This window comes from Homo sapiens, chromosome 7, assembly GCF_000001405.40.
Source record: "Homo sapiens chromosome 7, GRCh38.p14 Primary Assembly".
Classification (NCBI taxonomy): domain Eukaryota; kingdom Metazoa; phylum Chordata; class Mammalia; order Primates; family Hominidae; genus Homo; species Homo sapiens.
In genome coordinates this window covers 136,018,634-136,045,171 of record NC_000007.14, presented here as the reverse complement: position 1 = coordinate 136,045,171, position 26,538 = coordinate 136,018,634, and the positions used below count along the sequence as shown (strand labels likewise).

The 26,538-nt window shown below is 39.8% G+C and overlaps 1 long non-coding RNA gene across 4 annotated transcripts in view; it reads right to left on the bottom strand.

Moving 5' to 3' along the window:
- Positions 1 to 26,538, bottom strand: part of LOC105375523 (uncharacterized) — a 459,019-nt gene that overhangs the window by 394,794 nt on the left and 37,687 nt on the right. The window contains exon 2 of one of the 4 annotated variants that reach the window (NR_187954.1): positions 14,139 to 14,244. The exons of the other annotated variants lie outside the window; for them this stretch is intronic. This is a non-coding gene — a long non-coding RNA (uncharacterized LOC105375523). The remainder of the gene's footprint in view (positions 1 to 14,138; positions 14,245 to 26,538) is intronic. 4 annotated transcript variants of the gene reach the window in all.

The following is a 26,538-nucleotide window of genomic DNA, read 5'->3' as shown; positions in this document are numbered from 1 at the left end:
ATTTCTGCTGGGATAAAAATAGAATTACAATAAAAGTGGAAAAATGGTAAACAATTGGCAGGCTCTGCCTCCAATTTCTCTGACAGGACTGCCTGACACAACTCCCTGCCCTCTCTTCAAATTTGTCACAGAAGTTGTCTCCTAAGGGCATCTTCTGCGTGCTACATGAACTGACCTTCTTCATAGTCACATGGAAACATTTCCCTCATTTCCCACTTTGACTCACTCTGGTAGAGCCTCTATTAGCTGAGGCTAACAAGAGCCCACCAAACCCACCACTGGTGAAGACCATGGGGTGGTCCCCTCTCCAGGAGCCCACTCTTTTTTGTGATGCAGTTGCCAGTGCTCATGGGTTGAGGGTGCTATTGAAGTACTCTAATGACCCCGAAGGTCATTTCCCATCACTGCTGAAACTGCCAGCACCTATCGGCTGAGTTCTTCTCTGTGGTCTCAATAGTCCTCCAGATATTTGAGAAAAATGATGATTTTTAGTTTTGTCTTGCTTATTTATTGAAAACTATCCTCATCCCATCCTTCCTCCCATCCAGACTGAAGTTAATTGTGTTCTGAATCTCACCTTCCCTTATGGACCAATTATTCATGAACCAAACTTGGGTATTTCAGCTTTCTCTCTCCTTAAAATAAACCATCTCCTAGCATGCTGGGTGGCCAAGCATATCAATAAATCATCAGGTAGATATGCCTTACCAGTACCAAGATGAACACAGCTTCGGTTGTGTTGACCCTGCAACTCCACAATCACACATATAAACATATTTCATTTGTTTCTTACAACAATCATATAGTGGGAGCAAGGCTGCAGTTTCCACAACTATTCTTTATGTATGAAAACAGAAGAAAGATTAAGTGAATTGCTGGAGACCACATGTACTAGTCTATTTTCATACTGCTATGAAAAAAATACACAAGACTGGGTAATTTATAAAGAAAAAGAGATTTAATGGACTCACAGCCCCACATGGCTGGGGAGGTCTCACAATCATGGCAGAAGACAGAGGAGGAGCAAATGCACATCTTACATGGTGCAGGCAAGAGAGTGTGTGCAAGGGAATGCCCCTTTATAAAATCATCAGATCTCATGAGACTTATTCACTATCATGAGAACAGCAGCATGGGGGGTAACTGCCCTCATGATTCAATTACCTCCCACTGGGTCCCTCCCACAACATGTGGGGATTATGGGAACTACAATTCAAGATGAGATTTGGGTGGGGACACAGCTGAACCATATCACCACACAACTAAGTAACTTCAATTTAGGCCTCTAGACAACTGTAGCACTCTCAAATATCTCAAAGCCCTGTTACCATCTCTGAGGCTCTACCTATTCCCTCACTCTTCTGCAATCACAACCAACTTAGAAGATCTTGAATCTCTTGAAATTCTACTAATTTCCAAATGAAATTTTTAGTTTGCACTTTTTTTAAAGCTAATCCCTTAGTGAAGCCCTCAATTCTGCCCCTTAGAAGGTTCTCTGATGCTATGAAGCTGAATTCCTATTGCTTCTAAAATAGTTTCCCGTAATATTCAGCAGGGTCATTAGAAAAGAGGCCCAGACCTTAGCAAGTCAAGCCCCTGTTAAATTCAATCCCTTTGCCTTTATTTCATAACTAAATAATTTATCTAAAAAGGATTCACCATCTTTTATGGATACAGAAATTACTCCAGTATTATTCAAAAGGATGATAACATGGATTTTGGGGGGAGGTTTCACAGGAATGATAATCTTCTTTGAACCTCAGTTTTCTCATCTATGAAAAAGGGAAAGCAGCATAAATTCATAGGGTTGTTATAAGCATCAAATAGATAACCAGTAAAATACCAGCACAGGGCAGCACCCTAAGTAGACATTCAATAAGTATTTTCTTACCTCCTGGCCTGCAGCAAATTGGACAACTAAAATTTTATATACATTCTCTGTTCTCTTCAAGTTTACGTAATAAGTTGTAATTAATCTATACAAAATTTTTCCTAAATTACTTTTTAATCTTTTGCCTTTTAGAAAATTTTGACTCTTTACATTATGAAGAGTAAATGGGTTTAGGCTAAATTAGCATTTGGTCTTTTGAGTATTTGGTGCATTGGGTATTGAAGATGATGACATTACCCTGAATTCTTCTCTTTTCCAGGTAAAAAAGTCCCAGTCCCTTCAACAGTACCTCCTTCAACAGGCTTTTCAGTCTTTTTTTCCATAGATCTTTCCTTTCTCTATATAAAGGTTCTGTCCTAACTCTTACGCTGACTTTACGGAAGTGGCTATATGAGAAGACCATCAGAATTATGTATTAAATACTCCTTACTTGCTCTCTCTGGATTGCCTAGCTCCCATTTCCTAAAGGAAATAGTGTTTGATCCTCAGTGCTCACTGGATCATTTCTGAGCAGTTGCCTTTAATTTGCTTTTTGATATTTTGGAGTTGAACAAACTTGAGTCTAATTCTCTATTTTTGTTTAATTTTTGCTTTTACAACTCTGTGTGGTAAATATTTTCAAAATTCAGAAATGTTGAAAGAATACACTGATCTCTCATATATTTCTACCTATATTCAATAATTAACATTTTACCATCCTTAATTTATCTCTCTCTGTACACACACACACACACACACACACATAGAAAGAGAGAGGGAGGAAGAGAGAGAGAGATAAAGAGAGAGAATCATTTCATAGAAAGGTGTAGACATTATGGTACTTAATCTCAAAATACTTCAGCATGGATCTCCTAAGAGTAAAGATATTTTCCCACAGTATCATTATTATACCTAACAAAGTAATACAAGATACAAAAATTCTATTATCTAACATGCAATCTATATTCAACTTCCTCTACCCACTCTGTCATCTGTGTGATAAACCCTTGATTTCTTTGAGCTTCTGTTTTCTCATTTATAAGATGGGGTTAATAAAACTACTATAAAGAGTAGTTGTAAAGCTTTGAAAAGTTATTCTTTTATTCAACAAACATTTCTAGAGTATCCATTTATGTGAGCCAGCCACTGTTCTAGGGACCGAAGTTAAAGTGATAAAAAAGGCAGACAGAGTCACTGCCATCACTCTAACCAAGGGGAAATCTATGAAAATCTTAAAAGGTCAGTAGAAACCCTCTTATTTATCAAAATTCAAATTAGCAGTTGGGTGGTTAGTCAGAAAAGTCAGTTGAAAGATATATGCATTCCTCATTTTAATTCAAAACATACATGCACATATATTACGAATTTTGTGACATTAGGCCAAAGCCCCCCTTTGGGCATGAGTCTGCTGACTGGAGGTCAGCATTGACTTTCTTGCACAAACCACACCCATGATGCACTATCTTAGATTTCCAGTTGCCATTTCTTTAAAATAGAGAGTAAGGATGTCAAGAGTCTTGCAGGTAACTCTGCTTTCAAGTGGAAGATTGATTACATGTATAATATCACATAACAATTTTGTTGTTTCTTCTCTATATTCCTAGACAACTAAAATGACCATAAAAGAACTTAAAAGATTATGATTATTCAGAGATAAAGAGAATAGAGTAGGAGACACAGATATTCAGAAAATGAAAAGTGGAAGGAGGGGCCACTGTCTTAACAGAGTATGAGGAATCATATGCCGAGCGCCTTCAAGGAGAAGAGGATGGCGACGAGTGAGACATTTCCCCCTGCAACTCAGGGACTCCAGATTTCATGGCACTGGGTAACCCAAAGGGTGGGTCCAAGGACAGAACAGGTCAGGAGTGAGACACAAGACTGAACACAGAGGAATTAAGCAAAGAATACATATGACAAATGAAAATATCAGCCTCCTTCCCACCCCCTAGAACATGGCAGGTAGAAAATACTACCTCCTCCATCACCTTCAGCACCACTCATGAGGCAGGAGAGTGGGAATCTAAACTTGAAAAACTAAACCGCCCCCTACCAGGCTTTGTGGCTCACCCCTGTAATCCCAACACTTTGGGAGGCCAAGGCAGGCAGATCACTTGAGGCCAGGAGTTCAAGACCAGCCTGGCCAACATGGCGAAACCCCATTTCTACTAAAAATACAAAAATTAGCCAGGCGTGGTGGGGCACGCCTGTAATCCCAGCTACTCAGGAGGCTGAGACAGGAGAATCACTTGAACCCCAGAGGCAGAGGTTGCAGTGAGCCAAGATCGTGCCACTGCATTCTGGCCTGGGCAACAGAGCAAGACTCCATCTCAAAAAAAAAAAAAAAAAAAGAAAAGAAAAAAAGAGAAAAAGAAAAATCAAACCACCCTAGCACCCCAGAAAGACAACTGGCATATTTACATTTGGTGGGGGGAGAGGGAGTCTCTTGATGAAGAGGCCAGATGGTCTGCTTTGTAGTAAAGCCCACCATCAACAACCTCCCCACTCACCCCCACCCCACCGCCCCCCCACACACACACAGATGTTCCAATCAGCTTTCAATCTAGAGCTTCACTCATATATGAACAGACAACTCAAGATCATAAATGCTTGAAAAGAAAGACTTCAACATGAAAAGGTGAATTCAAAAGCAATAGCCAAAAAAGAAAAGGATCTTAGAAGAAAGGTAAACAATTAGGTAACACTCAAAACAAACCAAAAAAAATTGCAATTAATATCAGAGAGCTTAGATAATGCATTTGTAAAATAAAAATTGATATTTTTAAAATCATACAACAAGCAGAAGCTCTTAGAACTTAAAACCATGACAACTAGGATGAAATACTTAATAAAAGGAATGGAGAATAATGTCAAAGAAATCTCCCAAAAAGTAGAATCAAAAGGCAAAGAGTTAGGAAACGGGAGAGAAAATACAGGGGACCAACAGCTGACTGCTGGAGTTCTAAAAAGGAACAAAGAACTAGATGAGTAGAAATTATAATAGATACTAGAAGCAATTTTGCAAATTTAAGGGCGTGATCTCAATACTTAAAAGGCCCAGCAAACACCTGCCACAATCATTTTTTGTTAAACCTCCAAATTGCATAATCATGGAGTTAGGGAATAATAGGTATGAAGAGAACGTCATAATTGCATTTGTCAGAGTAGCATCTGACTTTTCTCAAAAGCAACACTGGGTATAGAAGAAAGTGGAGCAATGCTTGTAAAATTCTGCTAGACAGTTATTTTCAACCTAGAATGCTTCCACTAGACAAACAGGGTGTGCTTGTGTAGAAGTCTAATAATAACACACATGAGGAAGCAAGGACTAAAAAACATTACTTCCCATGAGTGCTTTCTAAGGACACTCCTGGAGTACATGCTTTAATAAATTGAGGGAGAAAAATCAAGAGAGGAAGACTGGGAATCCAAAACACACAGGTCATCATTCCTATGTTTTCCTACGCAAGTCATCAGTGAAAGGAAGTGACCCCTGAACAACGGCTGTGCACCAAGTCCGGAGGGCAGCAGGGCCAGCTCAGAGCAGCAAATGGTTACTATGGCACAAGGGTGTAGGGGTGGCAGAGAGTGCAACTGATGATTTTGAATGTTTACATCATTTTTTTCTGAGTGGCTGACAGATATGTTGAAGCATTTAGAAAAAATTATAAAATGGAGAAGGAGGAAGGAATCCTCACTCACCATAACAGGAAGTCAGCAACTACTGACTGAAATCAATCACAAAACAGCAGTAATGGCATATTGTTAGATACATGGAGAAAAACATCAAAAGAATCAGCTAAAGTTATTGAAAGCGGCTGCCTCTGGGAACTACCTAGAACATCCAGCATATTGCATCTTCATCAGAATTATTTCAGTTGCAAGTGATAGAAACTCAAATTAGTTTAAGCAGAAAGAAGAATGTATTAGCTTACTTAGCTTTTAAAAACATGGATCAAGATAGCTAGATTCAGGTTTTCAATAACATTTATATAATATCCGCAAGAAATTGTCTCTTGTTCTCCATGTCTCATCTCTCCATCTCCTGCTTTCTTTTCCCTGGATTGGCTTAACTTTCCGGCAGACTTACCCCATATGGGAACAAAGATGACCTCCTGCAGCTCCAGACTTCCAGGCCCTTAGCTTTCAAACTCTAAGAATGATACAATGGCTCAGTCCTGGTAGTTCTGGCAAAAATCCCAGGACTGGCTCTCATTGATCTGGGTTTGGTCATATGGCCAGCCTTGAAGCAATCTCTTTAGCCAGGATACTTTGATGCTATGATGGGCCTATGTCACATTCTCACCCTTGGAGTCAGAAAAATGAGGTCAGCTCCACCTGATATACATGGACTAAGGAGAGTAGTTCTCCAAAATGAAGTTGGGGTATGCGATAGTTCATTTTATTGTCATTTTTACTGGCAACAACTCAGGTACTCAAATATGTGGCCCAACAGTATTCTAGACGTTTCTGTGAGGTATTTTTTAAATGAGGTTGACATTTACATCAGTAGACTTTGAATAAAGTAGATTATCCTCCATAATGTGGGTGAACCTCATCCAATCAGTCAAAGGCCTAAGGAGAAAAAAACTGATCTCCCCCAAGAAAGAGGGAATTATGCCAGCAGACTGCCTTCAGGCTTAAGCAGCAGTATCAACTTGTTCCTGGTTCTTCAGCCCGCTGGCCTGCCCGGCAGATTTTGGACTTTCTGGCCCTCCACAATCACATGAGTCAATTCCTTAAGATGAAGAGATATATATATATATATATATATATATATACACATATATATATATACATATATATATATGCATACATCCTCTCTGCTTCTATTACTAGATAGAAAATTGATAGACAAAGAAAATCTACTCAGTGATTGATAGTTTTACTTTAAAATCTACCTACTAAAACAATCAGTTCTATATTAAGTGGTAAAATAGGACACACGTGTCCATAAACTCTCAGTCACAAAAGCCCATGCAAGGGTAAAGGCATGATTCATCCAAAGTGATAGATATAGTTTGGATGTTTGTGCTTTCCAAATCTCATGTGGAAATGTAATTTCCAGGCCAGGCACAGTGGCTCAGGCCTATAATCCCAGCACTTTGGGAGGCCAAGGAGGGCAGATTATTTGAGGTCAGGAGTTTGAGACCAGCCTGGCCAACATGGTGAAACCCTGTCTCCACTAAAAATACAAAAATGAGCCAGGAGTGGTGGCGGGTGCCTGTAATTCCAGCTACTCCGGAGGCTGAGGCAGGAGAATCGCTTGAACCGGGGAGGCGGAGGTTGCAGTGAGCTGAGATTGAGCCACTGCACTCTAGCCTGGGCAACAACTCTGTCTCAAAAAAAAAAAAAAAAAAAGCAGACATGACATGTAATCTCCAATGTTGGAGCTGGGGCCTGGTGGGAGGTGGTTGGGTCATGGGGGCAGATGCTGCCTGAATTGCTTGGTGCTATCCTTGTGATAGTGAGTGACTTCTTTTGCTGAGTTCACATGAGATCTGGCTGTTTAAGAGTGTAGACAGTGAAAGCCCGTCTCTACTAAAAATACAAAAAATTAGCCGGGCGTGGTGGCAGACACCTGTAGTCCCAGCTACTCGGGAGGCTGAGGCAGGAGAACGGCATGAACCCGGCAGGCAGAGCTTGCAGTGAGCCGAGATCGCGCCACTGCACTCCAGCCTGGGTGACAGTGAGACTCCGTCTCAAAAAAAAAAAAAAAGAGTGTAGAACCTCTCCCCTCTCATGCATGCACTCCCACTCTCACCATGTTACACTGCCTGCTCCCACTTTGCCTCCCACCATGATTGGAAGCTTCCTGAGGCCTCACCATGAGCAGATGCTGGGGCCATGTTTCCCGTACTGCCTGCAGAACTATGAGTTAATTAAACCTCTTTTCTTTATAAATTGCCCAGCCTCAGGTGTTTCTTTACAGCAATGTAAGAACAGACTAACATAGTGATTAAATAAGTACTTATCTTTGAAATGCAGTTTTCTATTTTATTTCAGACATAGAAGATAAAGGCAGTCTAGAGGCTTCACCAAGCCAGGAAGAACAGACGTGGACTAAAAAGTGACTCATGGATGACAAAAGACCTGTAAATAGCAAAAGCAGCTGATGGCACCACAGAAGCTGATACAGCTGACAGGATTCCCAGCCAGGGCTGAGGGCTCAAGTAACCTCTAAGTATACTGAACTTGCCCTCAGGATTCTCAGAGTTAGCGAGGAATGCTTGTAAGAGATTTTAGGAAACTTTCAACTATTTATTCTTCGGGTTTGTTGTTGTTGTTTGCTTGAAAACAGGATCCTTTTACTAAACTACAGCCAGCATATCTTAGCAAGTGAGAAAATTGATATCAACATTTGGGTAGCATGGGAATTGATTTTTCTTAGGTCTTTGGATAGGGCACACACTACTTTAAGTGAAACTATCTTAAAAATGAATCCAGGTCATTTCAATCTATGACACAAAGGTTATACCATGAAGCTTACTATAAAGCTTTTTCTAAAGGGCAGCTGGGAAGATAACCAACATTCTCCACCTACCGTAAATAACTAGCAATAATAATTTTTAATATTTCATACAGACTGCCTTTCACTGAGGCACAACAACTCTTTTTTAAATAAAAGCAACAATTTCAGGAATTTTAAGTTACTGGCCTTCTAGTCACATCACCTTGCAGTCCAGTCCGTACCAAGAAAAGTTGACATGCTGGTACCATGCCAACACCACCTAAACAGAGCTAACTTCTCATAAAACCTCCCTGAGGAGGCAGAGAGTAAACAGTTTAGATTTCAAACTACTCGAGTGAAACATGCTGCTTACAAAGAAAATATAAATAGGGAACAGAGATGATGACAAAGCAAGTCATAAAAACTAGTGCAACAAACCTAACTTGAAAGTAATTTTCCTTTACTGATATTGTTTGACTATATCCCCACCCAAATCTCATCTTGAATTCCCACGTGTTGTAGAAGGGACCCGGTAGGAGGTAATTGAATCATAGGGACAGGTCTTTATTGTGCTGTTTTTGTGATGGTGATTAAGTCTCACGAGATCTGATGGTTTTAAAGAATGGGAGTCTTCCTGCTCAAGCTCTCTTCTCTTGTCTGCTACCATGTGAGACATGCCCTTCACCTTCCGTCATGATTGTGAAGCCTCCCCAGCCACATGGAATTGTAAGTTTATTAAATCTCTTTCTTTTGTAAACTGCCCAGTCTTGGGTATCTTTATCAGCAGCGTGAACATGGACTAATACATATACCAAACAAAAATGCAAAGGATCCCCCACAAATTCAACTTCACTCTTTGCAAAATGTCATAGCTCCAAAATGATCACAATATATAGACAAAATTAAAACTCAAAAAGTGAACAGGAACGATAGAGTGGTAAAAAATGAAGCAGGATAAATAGACATCATAAACAAAAAGATAATTTAAAAAATAGTAAACTATGAGTATTAAAATGATGAAAATGAATAGATGATATTAGGTAAAAGAATAGTCTAGAAGAACTATGTAGTATAGGAATAGTTTAAAAATAAAAAAATTAAACAATTCTCATAAAGGAAGGAAATAAAATTACAAATGGTTCTAGAAATTCAGAAGTCCCATGATTAACATCCTAACAAGAGGTAAATAAGGTCCCTTGGAGTGACTGTTCATTATTCTCCCCAACTGCTGAAGTTTCAGGGGTTCCTTATTCCTGGACAAATATCCCTAAAGAGATGCACATTGTCCATAGGATGCCTCAAAGTAAGGTCTGCACATGCACACATATGTCCATCACAGTGCTATTCATAATAGCAAAGACATGGAATCAACCTAGGTACTCATCGGCGGTGGATCAGATAAAGAAACTGTTGTACACTTACAACATGGAATAACTACATGGTCATAAAAAAGAACAAAATCATGTCCTCTGCAGCAACAGGGATAGAGTTGGAGGACATTATCCTAAGCAAATTAACGCAAGAACAGAAAACCAAATATAATGTTCTCACTTCTAAGTGGGAGCTAAACATTGAGTACACATGGACACAAAAAAGGGATTAGACACTGGGGCCAACTTGAGGGTGGAGAATGGGAGGAGGGAGAGGACTGAGAAACTACCCATCAGGTACTATGCTCATTACCTGGGTAACAAAATAATCTGTACACCAAACCTCCATAACGTGCAATTACCCATGCAACAAACCTGCACACATGTCCATGCTAAAACTAAAAGTTCGAAAGAATTTTAAAAATAAATACAAAGAAATGTAGACCACATTCCCAACTACTACTCAAAACAAAAACAAGAAGAAAAGAAATCACATTACAAATAGCACATACATTGAAGGCAACTAACTTCTTCTTCTTCTTTTTTTTTTTTTTTTTTTAGAGGGAGTTTCGCTCATGTTGCCCAGGCTGGAGTGCAATGGCGCAATCTCAGCTCACCACAACCTCCGCCTCCCGGGTTCAAGCGATTCTCCTGCCTCAGCCTCCCGGGTAGCTGGGATTACAGGCATGCGCCACCATGCCCAGCTAATTTTTGTATTTTTAGTAGAGATGGGGTTTCTCTATGTTGGTCAGGTTGGTCTCGAACTCCTGACCTCAGGTGATCTGCCCGCCTCAGCTTCCCAAAGTGCTGGGATTACAGGCGTGAGCCACTGCGCCCAGCTGGCAACCAACTTCTTAATAGGCTTTTTGGGGAGGAAAAACTGGGCTCTAACAGGGACCTGCTTAAAACCCTATGCTCCTAGAGAGCTGGGCCACCAGCATGAAGCACAGAGACTGGGGGTAACTGGCTATTAAACTGAACAGAGCTGAACTCTACCAGAGACCTCCAGCTTTATGGAAAGTGCATGCTAACAGTGTCATCAGCCTGTCCCTTTAATCTCAAAACACCTCACCAATTTGATTCTCTTCCTCAACATACAGCCTAGAATATGTCTTATCTCAAGCTTCTCAAGCTACAGAAGCCAAGGCCCTTCCGGTTTTTAGCACCTAAATGACAGTAGTGAGGACTAAGATGAGAGGTGGACCAAGGTCACATACTGAAGAGAGCATAAGCAGGACACTAGAGCATCGTACTTGGCAGGGTTTTTCAAAGTTAGGTTGTTGGACGACCTTGCCTCAGAATCTCTAGGGGTGCTAGGTCAAAGTGAGATTCCTGGACCACATCACAGACCTAACAAGTCAGCATCTTGGAGGTACAGCCCAGGAATCTGCATTTTAAAGAAGACCGTCCCCTCACCTCCCACCCCAAATGACTGGTATGCTCTACAACTTTAAAGATGTATTGTCATTAAGGGAAAGTGGAATCAGGGTAACCTCGGGGCGAGCAGCCAAGGAACAAGGAGAAAAAACTGGGGGAGCATCCAACAGCAACAGCAGGGACAAAAGGAGACAAAGCCATAGAAGCAGAAAAGCAATGTGACGGGTCACAGTAAATTTTCTGGACTTAAGTAGGACTTCACTGGAAAAGCTACAGTCCCCTTGCCCCTACAGGCATGCCTCTGCAGCTATTAAAGGCATGGTACTCTGACAGATTACAGCTCCTTGCTAATTAAATTGTAAATCTTGTTTCAACTGTTTAAGAAAATCAAGGACACTAAAATGCAGTCATCTCTAAGCTAGAGTAGAGCAGCTGTCTTATCTTGAAAGAACACAGCACCCCAGCAGAATCTACATCAGAGGGAAAGCAAAGAGTCCCTGGGAGCTGGAGATGAGACGAGTGAGCTTGATAAAGTGCAGTTAAATGTTACCGGAACACTATGTACTAAACAAAGTTTCAGTAACAATCTGACAGCCTGCTTTTCAAATTTAAAGCCTACTCAAAAGGTCAGACTGCCGCACATCTCCAATCTCCTGCTCAATTCTAGATAGCTTCTAAAGGCCTGGGTCTCTCCTGCTTTCTGAACTATAACATTAGTGTTTCTCAATCTACTCATTTTAATAGAGTACTCCAGAGCCACACATCCAGAAGGTTCTTCAGAGGTCAACTTGCTATGCCTCTACTTTAAGAAAGAGCTCAGCTACAAACTGTGTTTACAAAAGGTATCTCTGCTTGTCCTACTAGTTCATGCCAGGGATTCGAATTAAAATGCTCACATTTTTATTGAAAAGACATTTCTCACACACTCTCACCCAAATGTCAACCTCCTGCAATGGGGAAAAGGGGTGATACATATTAGTCAAGGAGTTGGTGATGGGAACCTTCTTTTACCTCTCTTCAAGTTTCCATGGGACATCATCAATATAACACACATGACCTCTCCCCACGCACTCACTTATTTTATTCCATGGTAAGTGGAATGATCTATATGATGAGTGAGTTTGGAAAAGAAACAAAGCAGGCATTCTTCAGCCTTATTTTCCCATTTCTCTGCTTGCTGGCAGACACCTCTGGTCTGATGCTCTGTTTCATCAGGATTGCAGAGATGTCCATGGTTTTCTAGCCCTACCTAGGTAGGTGAGTCTCCCCAAATTGGAGAAAGGAGCCAGGAAATTATTATTGCCATATGCCTGACCCACATTCTCCAAACTAGCCTTTATTACTAATAAAGGGGCTATTTGGAATTTCATCTGCCTTACTCATTATCTCTCTCATAATTGGTTCAGAACTAGGTGGAAAGAAAGTGGAGTAGTGTATAGGTTGCCCTCAAGTCCCCAACATTTGGCTTCTATTATACTTTCGGTTTAGGAAAGACTCAGCATAAATCTTTTTGGTTAGAGGAATAAAGGGGATCCTCTCAGCCTAATGCCAATAATTCAGACCGTGGAGGAGAATCACCTCCTAACACAGCTACATTACATGCATTTGAGGGTGATTATTGGTAGAAAAACAAAAACAAACCAAAAATGCGCCAGTTGCACAGGACTTATGTAGGTACGTAGGTAAAAATTACTATTCCATTTGTAGACACTATTGCTCTGTGATCTACCCTTTATTTTTGGTTGTGAGTGGACTAAATATAGGTGCTCTGTTTGCCATTTCCATAATGTTTGCATTTTCTCGCCTCCAGACCTTCGTACACACCACCACCCATGGAATGGCCTCTGTTGGGGCCACGATTGTTCATGTGGAAAATGCCTGCTTATCCTTCAGGACTTATTTCAGATTTTAACTCACCCTGATCTTTTCAGAGTTAAATACTTCTTTGTCTTACTATAGCATCTCATTTATAACTCTATTAGTGTGTGTGTGTGTGTGTGTGTGTGTGTGTGTGTGTGAGAGAGAGAGAGAGACAGAGAGAGAGAGAGTCCTGCTCTGTCATTCAGGCTGGAGTGCAGTGGCACAATCACGGCTCAGCAGCCTCAACCTCCTGGGTTCAAGCGGTCCTTCCACCTCAGCCTCCCTAGTAGCTGGGACCACAGGTGCATGCCGCCACATCCAGCTAATTTTTTTTTCTGGTTTCTGTTTTGGTTTTGGTTTTGGTTTTGGTAGAGATGGGGTCTCCCTATGTTGCCTAAGCTGGTCTCAAACTCCTGGGCTCAAGTGATCCTTCTGCCTTAGCCTCCCAAAGTGCTGGGATTACAGGCCCTCACTTTTTTCACGTCTTTCCCTCCTCTCAACACCTGCACCATTACACTGGGAACTCTGGAAAGCATAACCATCTTTTATATCATCTTTATCATCCCCAACCCCTAACTCAGTGCCTGGCATATGGTAATGCATAATAAATATGTGAGGAGTGAGAGGCAAGTAAAAGAAGAAAAGAGACAGAGACATGGGCACAGATACAGAGAGCCAGGTAGAAGACAGAAAGAGAGAAACAAGGATAAAGACACACAAAGAGGGACCAGAAAGGTGGAGAATAGGCATGCGGGGGGATAAAAAGAAAGGAAGAAAAGAAAAATAAAGTCATAACCACATAGTCTCCCTCCTCCTACCAAAATACTTGCTAAGGTCTTACTGAACTCTAAGGATAGCTATGAATGGGAGAAAACTGGCCAACACAACCAAGGACCATGACAAATGTAAGTGGCTGAAAAGCAAAGGGGATGCTTTGAAAAACTCTGCCTAGAATCCAAGCAGATCTGCAGAACCGCACTCTTGTTGCTAGCCCAAGTGTAGGAAGAAGAGAGAGCTTACGTGCAAAAGGTATACATGAACCCTCCCACAAGTGGAAGCTTTCTATTTCGACTGTGCTATGAAGAAATGATTTATCTGCTTGCTAACAGCATTTCCCAATCCTTCTTGTTTCATTATTGATATAAAGAAGAAAAGAGTTTAAACTGATTCATTTTTTCTTTTGACCTCTAAACCACATTTGCTTGCTTACCTGATTGTGGAACTTTCAGGAGATTATTTAAACTTTCAGGTTTGCATCATAAGGTACTTTTTCTGTAGGCATGCCATAAATCTGCGAGATGAACTGTGATTCATTCCTGTAGGTATTAGTATGTCATTATGTAAGCATTGCCAATAATGAAAAAAAATTACTAGCAAATGTTATGGCAAAGAACAAATAAAAGCAGCTATATCTAAGTATTATATCTCTATATTATAATAAAAGATGGGCTGTGTATAAAGAAGTAATTTATAACAGCTCACAAGCAACTCAACATTTTTCAGATGATTATCAGCCAAATTGTCATGTACCAAATAGGAAATTAAACAAAACAAAAAGTCATACACAGAAATAACCAATTAGAGATTCTCCTCTTTACACTGTTTTCTGAAATGAATTGGATTATTTCTCCACAAAGACATAGTAGGCTCACTAAGGAGGACCACGGTATGTACAAAGCATTTCCCATGTGTACCACAGCGTGTCTGTATTAGGCAGTCAAATCCTAGTGGCCAAGACCTAAGTAACTCCTTGGTTAGCATTTATGACTACAGTGTGTGTCAATAGGCTTTTATGTTTCTTTGTTGGTTGTTGTTGTCATTTTGGCAAGGGGTGCTATTTTGTTTTGTTTTGTTTGTTTTGTTTCAAACTCTATGCAACCAACATTTATTAGCAGCTCCTGTTTGGCAAATACTGAGCCATACCCTAAAGAAACTTTTTAAACACGAGTAAGGCTCAAACCCTGTATTCAAGGATCTCATAGGTCTTTCGATTTTGGCAGTGCTACAAATACAGACATTCTGTCTGCTGCTAGCCTAGGCCCCCATGGAGCTCCTGGGAAACTTAACAGAGAGCAGGCATAGAGGTCCAATCTGCCACCCTCACCCTCTCCCTTTATCATCAAACCTACCTGTCTCACCAGTTTCAAATGACTCTTCCAACCCTTATTTTATTTACCTTTGTGTCAATGCCATTTGTCTATTTCCAACATCCCTCTAAGCAGATCATATGTGTTTTAAGTACAAAAATAGGTCTTACTTATTTTGATGTCATCTAGAGCAAGGAATTCAGTGTGTAGATTAATAAACTGTTTCCATCTGTCTTACCTTCCTAATGGTATCATGAGTTCTTTGAAGAAATAAACATTTTTTGGTGATAACCAAATACCTCATACAAAAATATTTGGTTATCACCAAAAAAAAAGAGAGCACTTCAATGATGGAAGGTATTATATAACATAACTATTAAGACTAGACAATCTCAGGGTGGAGGAAGACCTTCAGCTCTTATTTTGAGGGGTAAGGGGAACTGAATTCTCATGCTCTGGACCTAAATGTGCCCCCTCCATCAAAAATGTTTGGTTTGTCAAATTCATGGGTGGAGAATAAGGGAATTCCCCAAGGTGTGTATGAGCATTGCAGAATAATGGTTCTTAAGTGTGTAGGGCTCATGAATGGGCTTTAGCCAGTTCATTAACATGTACCCAAAACATGTTTGTGTGTGTAGATGCATTTTTCAATGCAATTATTACATAGCTTGGACTAGACACTCAAGGGAATCTATGACTTAAGATAAAATTAGGAACCCCTGCTGTTAGATAATCTTAGCATAACTACTGTTTTTCCCTAAAAATCATTGGAGAAAATGTTCTTCCATGAATTAAAGTGTCCAGAAAGAGCATTATACATGGGGTGAATATCACACTTTGTAAAACCAAAGAATAATAATAATTAAAAACAGAGAACTCAGAAAGAAGAGAAATGCCTTATACCCAGAGGCACAAAATAGTAATGTGCCCTCTGAAACAAACAATGACTAAAAGCCAACACATGCTTGTTTTAACACCTAGGTTTGAGATATATTAGAAAAAAAATGTCATAGTAATTAACCTTCTACCTCCCATCCATATTCACGGGGAGAAAAATAAACAAAAGTTTAGCAATTGCAAAACTCAGGGAGCCAGATATACCCAACTATTTCCTTCAAGAAAATTTTATCACTGCTTTCCATTCTACTCAAATGATCACAGTATAGCCTAGTACAGAAAGGAAAAGATCGCTGACCTACTGCTTTTATATAAACTAATTTCTTCATGTGTCTTATTCCTTTATAAAGCAAATTGAGCCAGGCACTGTAATAGGTGCTAGAGGTAGAAAAGACATCCCTAACATCAGGGAGTTTGCAATTTGAAAGAGAACAAGATAAGGAGGCAAAATTCAAATAAATAAAATGGTTTAAATGGTTATATGTTATGTTTAATGCTATTGTGGAGACAAACAAGATTCTTAAGTTTAGAATAGTCAAGGAAGATCTTTCTAAAGAAGTGTTACTTAAGCTAAGACAAAGATTGTTAAGAAGAGCTGTAGACATACATAGAATGAGAAAAAGATTCTACAGATGAGAAAAGAACATGTTCAAAGACTATGAAACAAGACAGAGCATGGAATTTTTGAGAAAGGAAAAAGAAGAATGGATGAAGTCCATCCACTAGGGAAAAGAAAGTTAAGACATATGATTGAAGAAGGGATGAGATTATGCAAATCCTAGAGATGATGGTTTAAACCTCAGACCTTGTTCTAGGTACAATGGCAAGTCCCTGGAGAGTTTTAAGCAGGCCTGGGGGTGACCTCATACAATTTCTGTTTTAAGCACATTACCTTTAATAATATGAGAAGAATAAATTAGTGTGGGAAGACTAAAAGATATTGATCTGGAATAAATGGTAGCAATGGAGTTCAAAAAAAGGGAGATTAGGGCATATTTAAGAAATACAACAAACATAATCTTCTGATAGATGAGACTTGTGCAAGAAGAGAAAGGAAGGAATCAAATATCATTCCTGGGATTCTTGGAGTAGCCAAGAGGATTGTGAGGCCATTTGCTGAGATTGAGATTTGTGGGAAGTGTTAACAATGCATTTTGAACTTATAAATTTTGCCATATCTGTGAGACACTCAGGTGGAAATGTCAAGTAGGCAGCTGGATCTGCAAGAATGGAGTTCTGATGAGGGATCAGGGCAGAAGGTATGTTTGGTAGTCTTTAACATTAGGACCAAATTTGTTTGGTATTTGAATCCATAGAATAGATGAAATCCATCTAGGGAGAAAAATCAGAAAAGGGAAAAGGGTCCGTAAGAGCTCCCCAGAAAACAATCATTTAGAGGATTAGTTGAGCAGGGGAAGCAGGCAAGGGAGTCTGAGCAGGGGGTGCTGGTGAAATAGGAGAAAGCCGGAGGCATGAGGAGCATTAAAAAAGGAGAATTCTTCAAGAAGTGGTCAAGTGGATTAGATGCTGCTAAAAACAATCACGTTAGATAAGAATAGAGAAATGTCTACTAGATTTAGCAAAATGAAAATCACTTTCTACCTTGACTTTGACAATGGTTTCAGCAAATTGGTGGTCACAGTGGAAGCCAACTATAATGGCTCAGGGAGGAGATGAAAAATGAAGAAGAAATTTCTATAATGGCTGCACAGACAACGGTTGAAGTCTGACCAGGAAAAAATGCAAAGAAATACTCCAGCCCGAAAGGTCAAGGAGTTGGTTCAAGTCCTTGCTTGTTTGCTCAGAGAGCCTAGAAAATGTTTGTGTGCAGCTGAGATGATCTGATTGAAAGGAAAAGATGACTAAAGCAGGAGGAAGAGAACATAAAGAAACAAAGTTCTCAATAAGGTGAGCTGGCATAGGATCCAGAGCACACAGGGAAGGGCTGACCTTTAACAGGATGGCAGTCAGTCTGGTCAGGCAGTCAGTCTGATCATGTGATATCTCACAGCTGACCCCCTTCCATGGGTTCCCAAATCAATAAAACTCTTTGTTATCTTGAGCAAATCAGTCTCTCTACATCTCAGCATCCTCACCTGTAAAATAAAGCAAGATTTCTGAGATATCTTTTAGCTCTAACTGTGATACTCTAAGAAGCCTCACGTAGAATGTCCATTTGCTCAGGCACATCAGTTTGTCATTATCCCCAATGTTGATTTGACTTAAAACATACCTTAAACCAGTGCTTTCCAACCTTTTACACATCAAGGTCATGTAGAAAATGATAACATACTTTATGGCATCGTGGGGGAAATGGAGGGTATTTGGGGTCTTGCTGAGGCTGCCCATGGCCTGGGGTCACCAGCTATGAAATCTCAAAAGACAACAATACCATGATTTTGGCTTAGTCTGTGACAAGGTGAATGTATCAGTTAGGCCTCTCTCAGATATAGAGAATAAAAATAAAAATAAAAAACAAGCCAAGCTAACATAAGCAAAAATGTAAAGAATTTATTTTAATAACACAAGGGTAATTTAATGCAAGGGACCTCAGGACCAAAATACAGCCTGGTCTGGGGACAGATTGGAACCAAGAAATAGCAAGCCATCGACAACATGGGTTCCTCCCAGGCACCTCTCATGGCAGCTTCTCTCTGCAGCCTGCTGCACTCTTCTTTCTCACCATACTAGTGCTCTCTGATACTCCATATACATGGTACGTTGTCATCCCTCCCAGGTTCAGAGACTCTTTCTCTCTGTCCCAATTCCAGATTCCTGAGGAGGAGACTTTGGCCCAACTTGAATCAGGGATGCATGCCTGGTCTAAACAACCGAGGCCAGAGGAGCTACTTTGCATAAAATGGCTGCCAGAAAGACACTGTGCACTGAGCACACACACCTAAAAGATATTGCTATATTCAACAGGACACTTTCAGTCATCTTGATTATATTATGTCCCCTTGATTCTGATATATCAGCCATTGTAAAAAGAAAAAAAGAAAGAAAGAAAAGGAAAAAAAGCACCAATTTACTGACAATCTTCCAGAAAAAGCAAATACTATATTAATTATATATTTTAAGAACCTATAAAAGTTTACATTTATTCATACCATTACACACCACTTTCTGTGCCAATATCAATATGACCATCAAAAGTAGGTTCTAAGCTTCTTTTACAAAGTATAAAAATAATTCTGAGTCTCTTCTAGATCATAATGATATTCTGATTTTCATTAGCAATGCCCATTGTCTTGACAGATGTAGCAATTTTAGTATTGGTAATATAATTTAACAGCACATTAAAGAATCTGCTATTTTGTCTACGTTTCCTCTTTAATTATACTTATAGAATTTTCTAAGTGAATTACATATCGCTGGACTTTAAACTGCTTTTCTTGAAAGTCAGCTAGAAGCTTTTATCTGATATTCTGAGCTTCAGTGATAAAACTTCAAAAAACTGGTTTTACTCACCTCTTTCTTACAGCTTTGAAAATTCTATGATGCATTCTGAAAAATCTGGCATTCTCTGAAGTCTTTAATTGCATTGCCTGCTGTGGGATAGACAGTCTTCTGTATTCACAGTAACTCTGTTTCAATGCTGCACTATGGGGGAAACCCGTTTGAAAATATTTTTGTTGCTGTTTTACAATGACACTTCTAAATTAAATTGAGATAGCGTGCACCAGTGGTGCTCCCAGTGATACTAAATCAAATGAAGTGAACACCTCCCTTCTGGGCCTGGTAAAGTTGCCACATGCACACACGCAAGCAAAAGCAACTTGTTAGGTTCCCTGGCTAGCACCTGCAGAGCCTCTTTTGAAAGCTCTTAAGAGCCATCCTGATTTCAGACATGTCAAGATATGGAAAAATGTGCATCTTGCAATCAAGCAAATATGTCACTTTCTTTTACTGAGAAGGAATGCATGCTACACTTTTTTTTTAAACTAAGTGTGTCACATGGTTTAATTCATTTAATTCTCACAACAGTCTGACAAACAACAAAATGGCTCTTATACCCATTTTGTGAATGAGGAAACTGAGGTTGTAAGATTAAGTAATTTCTCTAAGACCAACCAGCTAGTAAGTCATAGAGCCAGAATATGAGCCCATCCTATCTGATGCCAAGTCCCGTGTGTTTGTTTAATCAGTATATACAAATGAGTCTTAATTAATTGTGTAATAGACAGTCATTAAGATTAATTAATAAGATAAACTATAACATTAGTAACATAAATGAATATGCTTTGCTGTTATTCAATTAACTGAGCTAGGGCTGTTTTTCCAAGAAATGTGGACAAGGCTACCACAGTAACTACTGTACATGTCAATATCATTCCTGGTACAACTTGGGTAAATCGCTATTCACATGTACTTTGTTTTCACATCCATCTTTAAATTCATGGAAGCATTTCTAATAATAGTAATAAGTGGGAAAACAACTTGCAGTTAGGGTTCATGAGGAGCCCAGTTCCTTCCCTCAGGTCTGAAGTGACACTGGCTTCTCCTAAACCAATTGACCAAAGCAGACCACTGTTGAGCCACTGCCTGAGCTGTTACAGGACAGCACTACCCTCTCCATTGCTTTCACAGGGAAGGGGACAGAGCAAAATGATATAAAAAGTGTCTTATCACTTAAGGTCAGTGGTCCTTTCAATTTAGGATTCTGCCTCTAGGAATGGTACCAAGAAGTGGTGTTTGGGACCCCAAGGTGTAGCCTCAGAAAGTGTTAGAAGACAACTCCAAGCACTGTAGCTTTCCTTAGGAACATTAGTATTCTCCATGAGCTTATTTCTTCTTATTTGTCAGGTAACAGTGATGCTTCCTCATCCTAACACATCATCATTTAGTGAGCAAGGCCTTATTCTAGTGAAGGAGTTAAGACTATGACACCCCAAAATACGCTGCTCTAGCATATTGACTATTTTGAAATAAAGGCACTTAAAAAAATAGTAAGTACAAAAAGATCACTCTAATCTCCATTCTGTTTCTTAAAAGCAAGAGACAAAATTCCCACATGAAGGAGGTCCTCCCTATACCAGAAAGAAAGCAACAATCTTATCAAGAATAGAAAGTTGAAGCCTAGGGAAGTTTATACAAGCAAACCTTGTTAAACTAACTCTTATTTTCCTGGTCACGTCTCTACCCAATTAGCTAACCTAGCCCAAGCCCCTTTACTTATCACATTTTCACAACTTGCTTTTCTTTGTCCAATTCAGTATGTAAGCGATGGGCTCTAACTGCTCCTTTGGGTCTTCATTTCCTTATGAGGTCTCCTGTGCCACATAAAGCTTGTATAAAATAAATGTGTGTACTTTTCGTCTATTAATCTAGCTTATGTCAACTTAATTCTTGGGCCCAGCCAGACCCTAAGAGGAAGGAAGTAGAAATTTGCCTCCCCAACACTGGCCACAGCTGAAGGCAGATAGAAGACGGCATCCCAGACCCAGACACCACCAGCCACTCCCCACTGTGGTCCAGAATTGCCCCTTCACCAACCATGCAGAATAGCAAACCTCTTGCCTCATGAGTAACACTAAATAAATAAAGCTCACAATTAATGTTGTAATTACAGCTGGAGGAATAATTTGCAACCTGAGTGTGGTAACTCACCCAGGGTACCAAGAGGCTCATAGTATTTACTTTCCTGATTCTGGAGAGCCCATCCTGTAAAGCTTTGTTGACTTTCCAAATGCTGTGGCTGGGTTTTTTTTTTAATAGATCATTTAAAGAACTCAAGAAGAAACCCATTATGATTGCTTACAGAACTCAATAAAAGACACAAAAACCTTTATATGTGAGTTTTCAATGTGTTTGCCTGGTTTCTCATTTACTTATAGACCCAGAGACTGCTCCAATTCACCATCTTTATGCTCATCTCCCTGTTAACTTTTTCCATTTCCCTGGTGCTAGTCATGGTAATCGGCATGGCTTCTATGTTGAAACCAGCTGCCCTCTAGTTGACTTACCCTGTTCTTTCATTCATTTTTTTTCATTCATTTGTGCTATAAACATTTATTGAGTCCCTACCACAGCCCAGGTCCTGCTAAGTATGTTTATCTGTGTTACTAACTCACTGGGAACATTGAAATCACTTCAAACAGACCCTAATTTTTTATTTAACAATGAATGGAAAATTCAGTTCTATTTTTCCCCAGAATCCCAGTTGACTTTTGAGTTCCCCCTTGGAGCCTCCTTAGAATGGAGTCTAGCTCTGCCCCCTCCTTATGTCATCATCCCTGCTGTTCAAGGAGAACTCAGCAGTTAGAGGATTGTGGATTTTGGCATTGGTCAAATTTGACCCACATTTATCACACTTACCAGATGTAAGAACAGAAACACGTTTTATAAATTCTTCAAGTCTCCATTCACTCATTTACCAAATAGGACAATCACATCTATTTCACAGCATTGTTCAAAGGCTCAAATAAGTTACTACAAGTATGCAAAGAGGCAGCCAATAAATGTTACTTCTCCAATACATATCGCTTTCTTATTTACATGTGCTCCTTATTTATATTCTGTTATATATTCATTCATTGTAATTTAGTGAGCACCTATTTTACATGCTAGGCTGTGAGGAAACAGTGGGAAACAAACTGTCAGGGAGGAAGCACATTCCATGGAGTTGTCTGGAGCAGATAAACTCTATGCAAATAAATATAAAGAGAGCTCAACATTTTTCTACTTTTAAAATAGAGCAGAAAGTGACAGCTTCAAAATTTCTAAATAAGAAGGGCTTAGAGGCCATCTGGATGGAATGGAGACTTGCATTAAGGCTGTATTTGAAAAGCAAGCTAGATTTTTTACTAAGAATCTATGTACATGGGACAGGTGGGCCCATCGGCCAACTCTTTTGGTAGAGAGTACCTCCTTCTGCCTAAACCTAAATAGTCCAGGCCACTGCAGACCTTCTCCCTTGCACTGCTGAGTTTTAGCCTGTCCTGACTGATGAACCAGGAGAAAAGAAGGCTCCACCACTTCCCACATCCCTGTCCAGAGTCCCCAGCTCTCCTTCTATACTGGCTCCCAGGAAGACAACTAGTTTCCCTGGTGATAAACTTCTCCGCCTGGCTGTTGATGACAAGACCCCTAAAGCAACTTCCTTCAACCGATTACCACTCAACTGTACCTTCTACTCACATTTTCATTGCTTATTTTGCCACTCATTTCTTCATTTAATATTGATGACAAACCCTTTTTCTTTATTATTTCCTTTATGTTGAATTTTCCAATGTATAAATGAATTAACTTTATGGGTATATAACATCTGTTAATTGTTTTTTTTAGGCCACCAAATATATTTCACATGCATTATCTCATTAAACTCTTATGACAACCCTGAGATGTAGGTATTATTACTCCTCCTATTTTGAAAATTTAAAAAAAAACAAACAAATATTAACCTATCTGGCTGCTGTGCTATGGTAAAAAAAAATGAAAATTCAAAATAAATAAACAACAAATCTTAGAATCATTAATATGTAGGAAGGGTTTTCAACTCCAAATGCTCTTCTCATTACCCCAATATTGAAGAATTACCACAAGTACTCTACAAACCATTTCACAAATTTAATCGGATATAAAAGCAATACATGCAATTGCCTGACTGATACATGCATTAGAATTCCCTTTATTTTTCTTTTGTTAGAAATGTGGTCCTGAGCACTTGGACATCTACTATTCTGCAGGGAACAGTTGAGTCTAAATTTCGAAAAGCAATACGTCAATTAATTTACCTTTTCGAGGGGCCATTTAGTCTTATATTTTCTTAAGCATGGGTAGGCCAGAGGACTTTGTAAAAGTAATAGAGTACAATTATAACCATATACATCAATTCTTCATGTCTACATTGTATTTATTTACTGATGAAGCCTTTTCCCCCTACTGTCAGCATCGTATCTTTAGTATAGGTTTAGAAGAGAATTGTAGTCTCCTCTGACTCATACATCACTAATAAAACTGCTAGCAAAGATCTAATTCTCAATTACAAGCACAAAATAGTGCTACATTTTAGCATACAGCAAGCCCATCTATCTTAACAACTATTCTCCAGCACTGATGTATTTCATCCGGACAACTCAAGTTATTGGAGACCTTGCAAGTTCCCCTAACATATTATTAACTGGTATTGATCTCTTCGATCTTCAATTTGTGCCTCATGTCATAAAATCAGTAGTGACCAGTTTTAAAGCAGATTTTTTTAAAGGATATGTAACTTTGACATTGACACCTCACTACAAAGATGAGAAGACCTTAGCAAACTTGGAAAGAAAATTACCAAAAATTTCATCAGTCAGGTTTCCTGTGGCAATAACCTACTATTTTATTCTCTCCCACCCTAGTAAACATCCAACAATGTAGCATATCTAAAACATCACAATATAAATGCCTGTCTTAGTCTTCTCAGGGCTCTATAACAGAATACTACAGACTGGGTGGCTTAAACAACAGACATTTATGTCTTACAGTTCTGGAGGCTAGAAGTCTGAGATCAGGGTGCCAGCATGGTCAAGTTCTGGTGAGGGCTCTCTTCCTGCCCTACAGATGGCTGCCTTCTTGCTGTGTTTTCACATGGAAGAGAAAGACAGCGAGTGAGCATGAGTGAGAAAGAGAGAGAGAGAGTGAGAGAGAGAGAGAGCAAGCATGCAAGCTCTCTGGTCTCCTCTTATAAAGGCACTAATCCCATCATGAGGATCCTACCCTCACAACTTCATCTAAACCCAATTATCTCCCAAAGATCCCATCTCCAATACCATTACTTCCAAGTTAGGTCTTCAACATATGAATTTGGAGGGGACACAAGCATTTAGTCTGTAATAATGCCCTTATAAACTATGCTATAATCTGTCTGAAAGGCTTTAAATTACTGGCAATATTACTGGCTTGTGCACAACCTTAAACATACGCTGAGTATCACTTTGCTAATCACAGTGTCAACAAAAAGCCACGGTAAGATTGGAGAGGAAGGGTAGAAGAAGAAAATGCATTAGGATCATTTAAAAAATAGACAAAGTCTAAGTCCAGGGACCTGGAATCTTAGAAAAGCTGTGCCACAAATTCCGTACTCTTAAACTACATCTTTTACTTGGGCTGCATCTTGCCTACCAGAAAAATGAGTGGACCAGGATGTCCTCCAAAGTATCACTAATTTTAATAAATAAAGATTCTATGATTGTCTGAATAATGTATATCCTGAAATTATTAAGAAAACATACCACGAACATGATTGAAAAAAACTTTACAAAGAATTTACTGCGGCCAGGCACCAGTGGCTCATGCCTGTAATCCCAACACTTTGGGAAGCTGAGGCGGGCAGATCACTTGAGGCCAGGAGTTCAAGACCAGCCCGGCCAACATGGCGAAACCCTGTCTGTACTAAAAATACAAAAATTAGCCAGGCATGGTGGCACACACCTGTAATCCCAGCTACTCGGGAGGCTAAGGCAGGAGAATCACTTGAACCCGGGAGGCAGAGGTTGCAGTGAGCCAAGATTGCACTACTGCACTCCAGCCTGGTGACAGAGCCAGACTTCATCACAAAAAATAAAAATAAAAATAAAAAAAAGAATTGATTGTGAACAAAGTAGATAAGTGAAATAGTCATCTTGCTAGTTTATCTTTTTATTTCTAAAGGGAAGGGTTGAAGTGAGAACAAAACTTTTCCATTTGGAAAAAATTAACTCTTTAACCTACGAAATAAGAATATATAATCTACAATAAAAATAATGCTTGCCATTTGTTGGGTGCCTACTCTATGTTAGGCACTTTATAGACTTAGCTCATGTAATCCTTAAACAACTCTGCAAAGCAGACCTCATCATTTCCTTCTCTGTGTTCCAGTCACGCTGACCTCCTACCAGAGCCTCATATGCACCAAGCTCACCTCCACATCTCCTAACTCATGGGTCTGGCTTCCTCTCCTCATTTGGGACTCAGCTCAAATGCCACATATCCTCTTTTCCCTGGTTTCCCTGACTAATGTACCAACTCTGCCTTTATCCCCAGTCACTTTCTATCCCATTGCCCTCTATTCTTCACACCACAAATCACTATGTGAAATTACTTTGTTTGCATGCATATTGTTCTCTCTCTCCATTCTGCAATCTCTCTACAATGTCAGCTCCAGGAAGGCAGGTACTTAGCCTACACATAGCTATGTTCCCAGCACTTAAAACAGTACCTGTGGCCGGGCGCTGTGGCTCACGCCTGTAATCCCAGCACTTTGGGAGGCCGAGGCGGGCGGATCACGAGGTCAGGAGCTCGAGACCATCCTGGCTAACACGGTGAAACCCTGTCTCTACTAAAAACACAAAAAATTAGCCAGGCGTGTTGGTGGGCGCCTGTAGTCCCAGCTACTCGGGAGGCTGATGCAGGAGAATGGCGTGAACCTGGGAGGAGGAGCTTGCAGTGAGATAGCACCACTGCAGTCCGGCCTGGGTGAAAGAATGAGACTCCGTCTCAAAAAAAAAAAAAAAAAAACAGTGCCTGCTTAGTTAATATTTGTTGAGTGAATGAATGTCATTCCCACTTTACAAATACAGAAACCAAGGCCCAGAGAGGTTTGATGACTTGCCCAAGGCCACACCCATTGAACCAGGAATTCAAGTCCAAGGTTGCCTAGCCCCA